Below are 12,162 nucleotides of genomic sequence, written 5' to 3'. Positions count from 1 at the left end.
TATTCAAGTGGATGTCATATGATTCCATTTTTGAAGAAAAATGAGATCATATGTGCACTGAAAATGTTTGGAATGACATGAGGCTAGATTAGGGTGACTGAGAGGGATCCATTTAAAATCTTTTTTTTTTTTTTTTTTGCTTTTGAGTATTTTCTATTTTCTGCAATGACTATGCATTTCTTTTGTTAACCAGTTTTATTGCAATAAGGTATAATTTAAATTACATGAAATCTACCCCATCGTTTAAGTGTACAATTCAATGATCTTAATACATTTATAGAGTTGTGCAACCATTGCTACAATCCAGTTTATAATGTTTTCATCACCCAAAAAGTTACTTGATAGCTATCTGCAGTTAATTCCTGCTGCCACTCCTAAATCTAGATAACTATCTGTTTTCTGCCTCTATAAATTTGCCTTTCTAGCCATTAACATAAATGGAATTAATATGTGGTCTCCTTTCTGTGTTTTTGAGATTCATCCATGATGAAGCATGCATCAGTAGTTCATTCCTTCTTATTGATGTTCATTCCCTAGTATGAATATACCACATTTTGTTTATATACTCATCAGCTGACAGACAGGTAAACTATTTCTAGTTTGTGGCTACTGTGGATAATGCTCCTATGAACATTTATGTTTTTGACTTTGTATCGATGAATGTTTTCATTTCTTTGGGGTGGACTCCTATGACTGTATCTCATTTGTAATAACTATAGTTTTTTTTTTTAAAGGATACAAGAAAAGAATCTAGACTTTTTATTCTGATTACAATTTCTTTTCTATTCCTTTTAAGCCAGTATGCCTGTTCTCTCTAGTTAAGGTTAGTCTTTTCATTTTTAATGCATATAACAAAACGACTTAAGTAATTCTAACATTTCAATCCTCCATTGTTGATTATTTAGAATATTGTAAATATTTTCTACTTCAAACTTGTGAAAGCAGAAACAGTTGTATGAAAATAAATTGACTATTTAAAACTTCTGTGTTTTTGAGTAAATTATTATTTTTACCAAATTCTTAGGATCAATTTGCTTTTTATTAAATTGTTTTACTCAAAATTTTCAGCTAAATTATGTGGAAGCACAGCAGGGGCTTTAGTCAGTTTAGTGTTGCTATAACAGAAGACTTAAGGCTGGGTAATTTACAAAGAAAAAAGGTTTATTTGGCTCATGATTCTGGTGACTGGAAAGTTCAAGATTGAGCAGCTACATTTTTTGAGGGTTTCAAGCTGCTTCAATTTACGGTGGTAAGTGGAAAAGGAGAAGACATGTATAAATAAATCACATAGTGAAAGAGGAAGCAAAGGGGAGAAACCAATGAAGCCATAATCCTTTCAACAATATACTCTCTTGAGAACTAATCCATTCCCATGAGAACAATAATTCACTCACCCTGGTGGGAGGGCATTAATCTATTCATGAGAAAGCCACTCCTGTGACCCAAACACTTACTAGGCCCTACTTCCCAATACTGCCACATTGGTGATCAAACTGCAACATAAGTTTTGGTGGGTACAAACCACATCCAAACCATAGCAAACCTCCAAACCAACAAGGTCTAGGTCCTCTGTGAATTTTGCTCTCCTTTGTTTACCTTATAATTGTTACAACCTCTCATGTTTTTTGTCTTTTGTTCCCTTCTACGCAAACACATCCTTACAAAAATGTAGAAGGCTCCTTGAAGGACTTCATCTTAAAATGTCTAGGTACCTAGCTTATTGTGGGTGTTCAATAAACAATGAATTGAGTTGTGCAAAATTTCTAGCTTTTTTTGTATGATGAAACTTTAGCTGAATTTTTACGTCAATTTGGAATACAACGTATTTAGTATACCTACATACATCATTCTTCTCACTAACTGCTTCCTGCTCTTCTCTCTGGCTATCCATGATAACAAGAAATATCCATAAAAACAAAAAATATAAACTTTTTAAAAGTCAGAGATGCAGGTGTCTCCTTTGAAGTTAGACTAGAAAAGTGGGATGGTTCGTTATTTTTAAGAGACAAATACAAAGATATGGTGCCTTAAATGGTACTATCTGGAAGCCACACAACCTAGCAACATCTTTTGAGGCTCAAAACTTATTTTCCTCTCATTATTTGATGGTACCTCCATATAGCGAAACTCAGGACTACTATGAATGAGAAAAACACAGCTGATTTTGATGAAAATTACCATCACCACAATAATTAGTCAAAGAAAAAAGGTAAATATTTATAAATAGGAACAAAGATATTTTTAGTTTTTAGTTTTTGACAAAGTAATAAATGAACAGGGTACAAAAAAGTTACAAAACTGAAGAATCCCTCTCCATTCCTACCACCCAGCTACCCAGTTTCTTTCCCCAGAAACAACCACCCATTTCTTGTGTTAGGAGGGTGATGTGGCACAGACTGTCAGAGCCTACATGGAATAAAGAGAACACCCACATGAGAAAGGGAGCTGCAGTAGCAATGGGAAACCAGTCACATAAGGGGAATTAATCAAGTAACTAAATACATTAAGGATAATAGGAGTTAGATTTTTCTTAGTCAGTGAACAAAGCTACAAACATGGAAAAGAAGGAAACTAGAATGAAATGAAACTTACGGTATTGGACTAGAAATGGAAGTATCAGCACAAACTCACAGTTTTCAATACACATAAAGATACAGAAATACAGATGTATAGAGGGGTGTATGTACATGTGTATATGTATCTCCTAGTTCAACGGTCCCCATCCTTTTTAGCACCAGGAACTGGTTTCATGGAAGACAAATTTTGCACGGACCCGGGTTGTGGGGGATGGTTTCAGGATGAAACTGTTCCATCTCAGATCATCAGGCATTAGGTTCTCATAAAGAGCGTGCAACCAACATCCCTTGCATGTGCAGTTCACAATAGGGTTCACGCTCCTATGAGAATCTAATGCCGCCACTGATCTGACAGGAGGAGCAGCTCAGGCAGTAATGCTGGCTTGCCCACCCTCACCTGCTGCACAGCCTGGTTCCTAACAGGCCACAGACTGGTACTGATTGGCAGCCTGGGGATTGAGGGCCCTTGTGCTAGCTTGTCTACTTTGAGAGGGCCTGGGAGCAGTGAGAACCGAATAGTGATAAGTAATGTAGTATCCAGATCTTGGTTTCTAAATCCCATACTCTGCTAAAAGAAAGCAGGGATCTCTGGAGAAAGGGCTGATTTGAGGCTTGGGACAGGGAAAGTATGAACTGAGCCTGGAACATCTTAAGCCAGAAAGAAAAGAAAGTTTCAAGAATGATGGGGGTATGCAAAAGGCAACCTGCAGGCGCTACCACTAGCTAAATCAGGGCCAGTATGAACATGTAAATAATGACAGCAGATTATAATCCAATAAATAAATTAGGGAATCATGAGTCCATAGTGATTTAAATGAATGAATAAACTGCAAGTCTGATGAAGAACAGGATAACATCCATGGTCCCAAATTGCCCTCCCGACAAATACTTATTAGTTACAAAGGAAAACAAGTAGCTTTACAAGCCTAGCTGGTATCTCTATTAGGAAAAATCTAAATTGTATGCCACCTGATATGATTCAATAACAAGAATATAGTGTTATTTCTGAGATATTCCTATCAAAAGACACATAACCTGAATATGAAAAATTATGCATAACATGCATAACACAAATAGGTATAACATGAAAAAACAGCAGACAACCAACAATGAACATTCTATAAAATAATCAGCCTGTGATCTTCAAAAGTGTCAAGGTCATGAATGTCAAGGAAAAATCAAGTAAGTATTCCAGATTGAAGGTGACTAAGGACTCTTATCAATTAAATGCAATCTGTGATCCTGAATTGGATCCTTTTTCTATAAAGGACATTATTACAATAACCAGTAGAACATAAAGGGGATCTAAGGACTGGATGGTAGTAATCAATCAATGTTAATTTTCTGTTTTTGATGACTGTATTATAGTTATATAGGATGATGCCCCTTTCTATAGGAAATACAGATTAAAGTATCTGTGGTGATAGAGCATCATGTCAGCAACCTCCTCTCAAATTGTTCAGAAAAAAAAAGTTCTCTTGCACTGAGGGAGGGAGGGAGGAAATCATTTCATTAGAATACATGCTCTCCTTCTAACCTTCTCCCTTTTGTACCCCAGTGCCTTACATGCATTAGGTGCTCAACAAATGCTTGTTGATTTGTTGAATGACAAAAAGGGAAATCACTGTGGCTGCCATGTGAAATCACCTAAGATGACAGCACAGAACTGGGAAGAAAAGATGGCGTGAAACTTTAAAGGATAGTGAAAGAAAGAGCTAGAAAAGGTAACTTAGAAGATGCAGCCAAAAGAGAGAAGAAGAAATCTAAAGTGTTATGTTTAAAAAAAGAGTATTTCAAGAAGGAAGTTGTAACTGGAGTTAAATGCTGCTGCAAAGTCAAGTCAAATAAACGGAAAGTATCCATTAGACTTACAGATAATGAGACATCAGTGCTATATATGTAGTAGAAGCTAGATAGGTGGATTAAGAAGTGACAGAAGGTAACTGAGACACTGAATGTAGATTTCAACTGTTGAGAAGGTTCACTTTAAGAGAGGGAACAAACAGCATGATAGATGATATAGAATAAAGGGGTTCAGAGAGGTTTGTTTTAAAATGGGAGACTTTTGGACATATTTAAATGCTGATAGGGCATATAGCCACTGAGATGAAGTTGATGACACAGGAGAGAGGAGAAAATTGAGAATATAGGTTTTCTGAATTCTATGCTGGAGTCTGTCACACAGACCCAAATATTTCAGAAATTCTTATTTTAGAAAAGTCAGTGACTTTGCAAGTAACATTGTTATTCATTACAATTACAGAATGCTAGAAAGTAAAAAATGTCATAAAATTCTCTAGCCCCATATGATGCCCAAAGAAGTTAGGTGACTGACTTATCTGCTCAAGGTCATGTGCCTATTATGTGATAAAGCTATGAACCAAATTCTTCTGACTTTAAATTGCATGTTCTTTCCATGATTCAAGGGTGACACTTATATACTGATCTGGGCAGCAGTATTTAAACTGCACTCTGCAAAAGTGTGTATGGGGTCACAAGGGTGGTGAAGGTAGGGAGAGGAAGGAGATGCGGACTGGAGAGAGAGGCTGCATTCTAGAACTCTGGAATCTCAATTTCTATTTTACAAAAGCTGCCCTTTTATCTGTTTAATAAACTGGGGTCCTAAATGAGACTTTATTAAAACAAAGAAAAAGATTCCGCTGCTAGGAAAAAAATGCAAACCATGATCAAAGAAATGTGCAAATATATATACTTTAAAATATACTTACCGGGTAATAGCACTGAATAGTCCACGGATACGTGCTTTATGTCGAGCTACAAAAGCTTCCGTAAAAATTACTCCTCTATTATCAAGATCAATATGTCCACTGATAATTCTACCAAGTCGCTGAGTTAGTGCCTGTGGGTAAAGATGTACATTTTTATTAATTTAAAAGAAAAGAATTACACATATGCATTTGCATAGTCATACTCAAGTCATGCTGCATGCTGAGGTATCAGTCATGTGATTGAGAAGTTTCAACAAGCATAGATTACAAGATATATCAACTAAAGTGAAGATTCAGTGTCTAGCAAAGTTCACTATCTCATGGCAGAGCCAAGAAATGAGTCAAATTGCTTGCTTACATGTTAAAAGGTTGAGCTGTCATATTATCTCTTGTTAATGAGGGCTATTTCTAACATAAAAATGACTATCAATATGATGATTATTTGATATGATGGTTTCTAGATATAGGCAGCCTCCAATATATAGAGAGCCAAGACATACAAATGGGTATTGGAGAAGACCCTTTCTGGAGCTTCTAATACTAAAAGTATAAATGTTATTCCAGATTCTGCAACATAGGGAAACATAAGACCTCAAAAGCTTTCCTCTCTAATGCAAATTTATCCCCGTCCAGAAGATCTATGGCAGATAATCTGACTTCTTGGTAACCTTCTTTCAAGTTCAGCAGAGTATTTCTCCACAGCTATACTACGACTGGCATCAGGTACATCTGAAATAAGTCTGGACATATTTCACATTTTAAGATAAGTTAAATCTACTCAAGTCAGCTCAGCTCATTATTTTTATGATATAGAAAAATGTTTTTTTCAAACTTAATGAGCTTTTAGAATACTGCTATATTCAGAATGGAACTGAAACATATTAAAAACTACGTTTCTAAAATGTATTCAGAAACAGTTTTATAAGAAATCATTTGGATTTGAGCTGGATACTTTAAAGAAGTATTTTAAAAATATATTTTTTGTCCTGTGATTAACATATGTTTGCCCATGTAAAATATAATTTCAGCTCCTGAAATACTACATAAAACAGATCTATACTATAAATGGTATTTTAAATGGAATTAGGGAAGCTCATTTTCTTAATATGAGTAAGTAAATCTGCTTGTATTATACATTAATCTCATGCAATTACGGTTTGGCCAATTTTGCAAGTTGGAGTTTCTTAAAGTGATAGATACCTAAAGAGAGATTTGGCTTCTCCCTTGTTTCAGTAAATATAAAAAGAACTAGCATTATTTAGTTTCTCCATTGTGTTAAGATATTTCACTAGATTTCAATGAAGCCTATAAAAAAGACAATATTTCCTGTTTTACAGATACATAATGTGAAGCATAAAAGAGATGAAATGATTTTCCTGATGTCAAATAAGTGGTGCAGACAGTATTCAAATCAAGGTCTTTTAAAAATCTCAAAAGCTTATGTCCTTTCCACTCTACCAAATGAATTTCTATGATTCTAAAAAAACAAACAAAAAAAAACAGAAAAAAGTAAACAAGAAAATAGCCTATGTTTTCAGGCAGCATTGTTATCACACATAAGATATTTGAGTACTGACACAAATACCTAAAGTTAAGAGAATGTCAGATTCCTTGGTTCTTCTTCCTATCATACTGACTGTTTAGAAGAGGATAAATGGTGAAGTCAAAAGATGTTGGCATTACTGACAGTTGGAACAAAAAAATTCTTTGTTGGCAGGATGTTCTGTACATTGTAGGATGTTTAGCAGCATCCTTGACCTTTACTCACAAGAAGCCAGTAGTACCCCCTATAAATTATCTTCATCAATTATTTCTTAAAATTTAACTGGGCAATCAGAAATTTAATTGTCTGGTTACAGTTTCTATATAGCTGGTATCAAAAGCATTAAATAAATCCATGCATTTATTGTACATTTGCTAATTGCATCAAAGCAGCCCTAGAACTTAGTCTATAAATTAGTTTTAGGGTGTCTCTTGGTTTAGGATGATTACAATCATTTTTAAACTGCCTCCTCAGAACCATTAATGTACTAGAAGTACCCCCCAAATATATTGGTACAACATATATCAAGTCAGACACCTGCAATAAATCAAATGATGGTGAGGAAGTCTCATTTTTTTTTCCCCCTTCCATTCAAAGTCTTCGTTTAAAATCCTTTGGTAAAAAGACACATTGTATTATTAGGAAAAAAAATACCTGTGTCAGAAAGTTCCCAGGAAGATCATAAGTTTTACACAGTTCTGATATGGTGACCTGACCACTTTCTTGCAATTTATCATTGACCTCTTCTGCCAACCGATCCAAATAATTCCTAATAGTGAAAACAAGAAAATAATAGAAAAAAGAATTAGGAATGTTTTTTCTGTTTCCTCATTTTATGTTTAATTTCCGTTGAAATGAAGTATGCCCCAAAAGTAATGAAATGTGTGTGTACATGAACACCACTCATCACTCATATTCTAACAAATACTTTTTTCTCATTAGTGTAGCTAAATGTAAGATTAATCAAACAATACATTTTCTTTTTCTTTTTCTTTTTTTTTTTTGCATCAAGGTCTCACTCTGTCACCCAGGCTGGAGTGCAATGGCATGATTATGGCTCACTGTGGCCTTGACCTCCTGGGATCAAGCAATCCTCCTACCTCAGCCTCCTGAGTAGCTGGGACTACAGGTGCGAGCCACCACATTTGGCTAATTTTTTAATTAGCAAACTTAATTAGTGAAATGGGTTTTGCCATGTTGCCCAGGCTGGCATGCTGGGATTTTTTTAAGTGGAAATTTGTATTTGATTTTCATTAACATTTTTGGAACAAATTTGCTTTCAGAGTTAAGATTATACGGGAAGGAACGTAAAAGTTACGTTTTACGTTTTCTTATTAAGAAAAAAATAGAAGTTTATATTATTTCTAAGTATTCCATACATTAACACTGAATTTTTTTTTTTTTTTTTTTAATTTGAGACAGGATCTTTGCTATGTTACGTAGGCTGGTCTCAAATTCCTGGTCAAGCAATCCTCCAGCCTCAGCCTTCTGAGTAGCTGGGATTACAGGTACATGCCACCATATGTGGCTTAAACACTTACTTTTTAAGTGAAATAAACCTTATCATGAAAATCAACACTGTAAGAGTTATAAATGAAATGTCTAACTGGCCATAATTGGCCTAAATTTAAACACTATAAAAAAAAGAAAGAAAATAAACAAAGTGCTCTTAAATTTGTACTTTATTGTACTTACTCATCTATCAGTTGTCCCAACACTAACTGAACATGCTTTTCTGATTTAATAATGTCACCAATTCTATTTTCAATATGAATCAGGTCCACATTAATTACCTGGAAAACAAATACAAAATCTATTAATGATTAGTTTGTATTGTTTCTTAAGCTTGAAATTATATACTTAGAACTATATTTTTAAAGAAATTGCCGGCCAGGCATGGTGGCTCATGCCTGGATTCCAGCACTTTGGGAGGATGAGGCGGGAGGATCCCTTCAGTTCAAGAGTTTGAGACCAGCCTGGGCAACATAGGGAGACTCCCATCTCAAAAAAAAAAAAAGAAAGAAAGAAATTGCTTATTCTTAAATTTTGAATCAATCTGAAATAATACGAAAAGCATTGGCCAAATAAAAAATTAGAGGTGTATTGCTTAGTTATTTTCAGTTCTGAAGAATTAAACTGTCACTTGCTAGTAAGTTTATATAAAGCAGTAAATTACATATTCATATAACAGATAGCATTTTACAGAAAATTCGCTGGCTTCTTGTTTATAGTGTACCTTGGTAATGACATATATATTTGTATATTTTGAAAATAGCTTCTACTTTTAAAAATGTTTCTCTATTACTTTCATATACTAAAAACATATAAACATGAAACTGGTGACTTTTCTCCCAAAATGACATAAACTCTATACTTACATAAAATAACTATGAGTTCATTTGGTAAAAAGTTAAGAATAAGAAAGCCAACTAGGGAAGAGTTGGCCAACTCTTTAATAAGGCCAACTTATTAAATCATTTCAATAAATCCGAATTTATTAAATCATTTTAATGTATCAGAACTTGTTAAATCAATTCAGTGTATCAGCGAGGCTTATATAACTATTTCTTTATAAACACTACACAAAATATGATACCAGCATTAGTGAATACTTGAACAAATTCACAGTATCAAAAAATTGAGAAAGTAAAGCAAAAATTTTATAAATTTAAAACCTACCTGTTGTAGATCAACAATGTTTACTCGACCTTTGAAGAAAAGACATTCATTTATTTTAAATGATCTATGCGTACATACCAACCCAAAGCTATAAATTCTAACATTTAAGTTTTGGTCAAAGTCCTGCATAGAACAGAGAGCCAGAATAATCAATGTCTTCAAATACACACCATTAGCTGATGGCTAAGTCTTCATGGCTGAAGCCATAAGCAATAACTTACTTTCAATTTTTTTTTTTTTTTTAAATAACATCAGGCCAATTATGAGCACCAACTGGCACACAAATTGGCTCTATCTATGAAGGGTATTCATTTCCCTTCACAATTCAGAATTTATCTACTGTGATCAAAGAGATATTGACAACTAAATTAAGATGAACTTTTTTTCAATTATTTGATACTAAAAGGTAGGCTTCTACATATCAGCATAAGAAAATCTGTTAAGTAATTCAAATTATAGCTCATATTTTAAAGGTACTATGAAGGAAAATAGATAAATAAAAAAAGACAAAGACCAATGTTACACTCTGATAATATGAAGAGAGGCTTTCATAATTGCTTCTATTTTAATCAAATAGTATTCAAATATGCTTGGTAGTCTGTTCAAATTTTAAGAAGACAAAGGAAACCAACTTTGTGCGTGTTTTTAACAGCATTTCATACAATATGATTGGTGTAGCACCACACTGGATTGAGTTACCTAATTTGTAAGTACAAGTAAGCCTTAAAAAGAAATACAGCCTTGATTTTCAAAAATCTATAATCCTGTAAGATACTGTCCCCCTTCACAATTACCACCTAATAAAAGGCAGCTGAATACCCTTCCCTGAGTCATGCAATAAATTAATGAATTGTAAAAAGAAACAATTAATTCATGTATAGTACACATAACTCAAAATGATAAAATATTTTAAGTGACAACATTTGAGTTCATTTAAATTATATGACCATGTTTGCATGAACCCAGTAAAAATATTAAGCCTGATTATCAAATTAACAATTGAAAACGATATCTTACAATCTATAATTTAGTATGCAATTACATGTTTACGGGTTTTGTTTGTTTGTTTTGCCCCTTCCAAAAATCCAAGAAAAAAAAAAACACTAAAGAATTACCTACCACCTCGGACATGTAGCTCATCTCTCATTTCTTTACTAATTTGGGCTGGAGTAATATATTCCTTTCCATCGAGTGTATGAACTACTTCTAGCTGTTTCTGAGCAATCAATTTATTAACAATCTCAATGCAGTTCCGCTCGGACAACCTGAGGGAAAGAAAAAAAGTTGTTTCAAAAGTCCACTTGAGACATTGGCGCTCAATAAAATTAATACAATGTATGAAAACAGGCTTTTAAAAAGTTTGTTTAGTCACTAACTTCTACATCACAATATCTGTATTTTTCACTAACTGATTCAATAAGTTAAAAAAAAACCTTTCAGAGTAAGTAGGTTTACATATGCTTAAATCATTTATTTAATTGGTACACATCATCCCATCACAAATTTCAAGTCTGTTGTCTCTTACAGGCCTGCTTCCAATCTTCAAATCTGAAGGGAAAATTGAAGACATTTATTTAGGTAGGAAAAAAGAAAAAACAAAACAAAACAAAACAAAAAATGCCCTAATTTCCAGTTTAATCAGAATTTTCTTTTAAATTAAGTGCATAATTGCCTCACTTACACACATGGTCTGCAAGCAGGCAGGGGATGTGGCCTAGTGAAACCATAACTTTTACCCACGTTAGTTACCCATGCAGTTACGAGTTTGCTATCAGTGGTAGAAAATACAGCATAAGGGGATTGCTGTCTTCCGGCTCAAAAGGAATAAAACATCGCAGGTAGGAAGTAGTCAAAGAATAGAAAGGCTTCTATTAGCGTTATTTTTAAAAAGCAGAGTTAGGCTCCTCTGGACACATCCTCCAAAGGTTAGTGGGCTTGTAGAAAATGTCAGTGCCCTGAATAACAGATGGGGTCAGGGGTCTAGCCCTAGGTCTGTTACGAGAGATAAAAGGGCAAGAAGTTTTAAGGATCAACATACTATTTGCCAAGTACTGTACTGGGGGCGGGGGTTAGCCTCTCCTTTCGAGCTCATTCTAGATCAGGAAGTGTATAATAGCCAAGATGTCACAGTGATTTGGTGGTTGGTGGGTGAGGGAGGGTCAAAGAAATGCTCAATAAAGGCAGCTCGAAATCACCGGCCCCGTCCATGGTGGGGCGGGGCGCGCCAGCATTTCGCTGCAGCTGGGCTGGGGGGCTCCAGGGCGTCCTAGGCTGAGGACTTTCCCGCCGAGCCTTGGACTTGGAACTGCGATCCAGGCTCGGGACAGAGGGAGGAGGAGAGAATGGTGACAAGCAGCGAGAAGACCCGGGATGCAGGGCCGCGGGTCTAAAGTCCCAGATACAGGCGTGTCCGCCCACGGCCTAATTTGGGCTCCACAAAGGAGAGGGAGGGTCGGGCACCTCTGCGTGGCCTCGGCGAACTGCGCCCGCTGGAAGTCGGCCGCCAACCGCCTAATCTCTTCCCAGGCGTCCGCCATCACGGCCTGACTCGCAGTAGACGCGGAGGAACTGCAGACACGTCAGCCGACAGGCGGTGGGAGAAGAGAGGCGGAACGGGCCGCGCAGAGGGACAAGA

The 12,162-nt window shown here is 35.5% G+C and overlaps 1 protein-coding gene across 1 annotated transcript in view, besides 2 other annotated features; it reads right to left on the bottom strand.

Annotated features, from left to right (window-relative positions):
• UFL1 (UFM1 specific ligase 1) overlaps positions 1-12,132 on the bottom strand; it is a 33,471-nt gene extending 21,339 nt beyond the window's left edge. The window contains exons 1-6 of the mRNA NM_015323.5: positions 11,988-12,132; positions 10,647-10,792; positions 9,528-9,556; positions 8,544-8,641; positions 7,503-7,617; positions 5,306-5,436 (exon numbers count right to left, since the gene is read on the bottom strand). Coding sequence (NP_056138.1) covers positions 5,306-5,436; positions 7,503-7,617; positions 8,544-8,641; positions 9,528-9,556; positions 10,647-10,792; positions 11,988-12,064 — 596 coding nt within the window. The 5' untranslated portion in view covers positions 12,065-12,132. The remainder of the gene's footprint in view (positions 1-5,305; positions 5,437-7,502; positions 7,618-8,543; positions 8,642-9,527; positions 9,557-10,646; positions 10,793-11,987) is intronic.
• Positions 10,800-11,671: an enhancer, noted in NCBI's record as "NANOG-H3K27ac-H3K4me1 hESC enhancer chr6:96970143-96971014 (GRCh37/hg19 assembly coordinates)". NCBI's record gives its function as "activates a minimal SCP1, AML or CMV promoter by ChIP-STARR-seq in primed H9 embryonic stem cells {active_cell/tissue: H9 hESC(primed)}" and the evidence as "EXISTENCE:reporter gene assay evidence [ECO:0000049][PMID:30033119]".
• Positions 11,672-12,162: part of an enhancer, noted in NCBI's record as "NANOG-H3K27ac-H3K4me1 hESC enhancer chr6:96969271-96970142 (GRCh37/hg19 assembly coordinates)", that runs on past the window's edge. NCBI's record gives its function as "activates a minimal SCP1, AML or CMV promoter by ChIP-STARR-seq in naive and primed H9 embryonic stem cells {active_cell/tissue: H9 hESC(naive and primed)}" and the evidence as "EXISTENCE:reporter gene assay evidence [ECO:0000049][PMID:30033119]".

This window comes from Homo sapiens, chromosome 6 (genome assembly GCF_000001405.40).
Source record: "Homo sapiens chromosome 6, GRCh38.p14 Primary Assembly".
Classification (NCBI taxonomy): domain Eukaryota; kingdom Metazoa; phylum Chordata; class Mammalia; order Primates; family Hominidae; genus Homo; species Homo sapiens.
The sequence above is the reverse complement of the archived record's forward strand: the minus strand, read 5'-3'. Positions and strand labels throughout refer to the sequence as shown.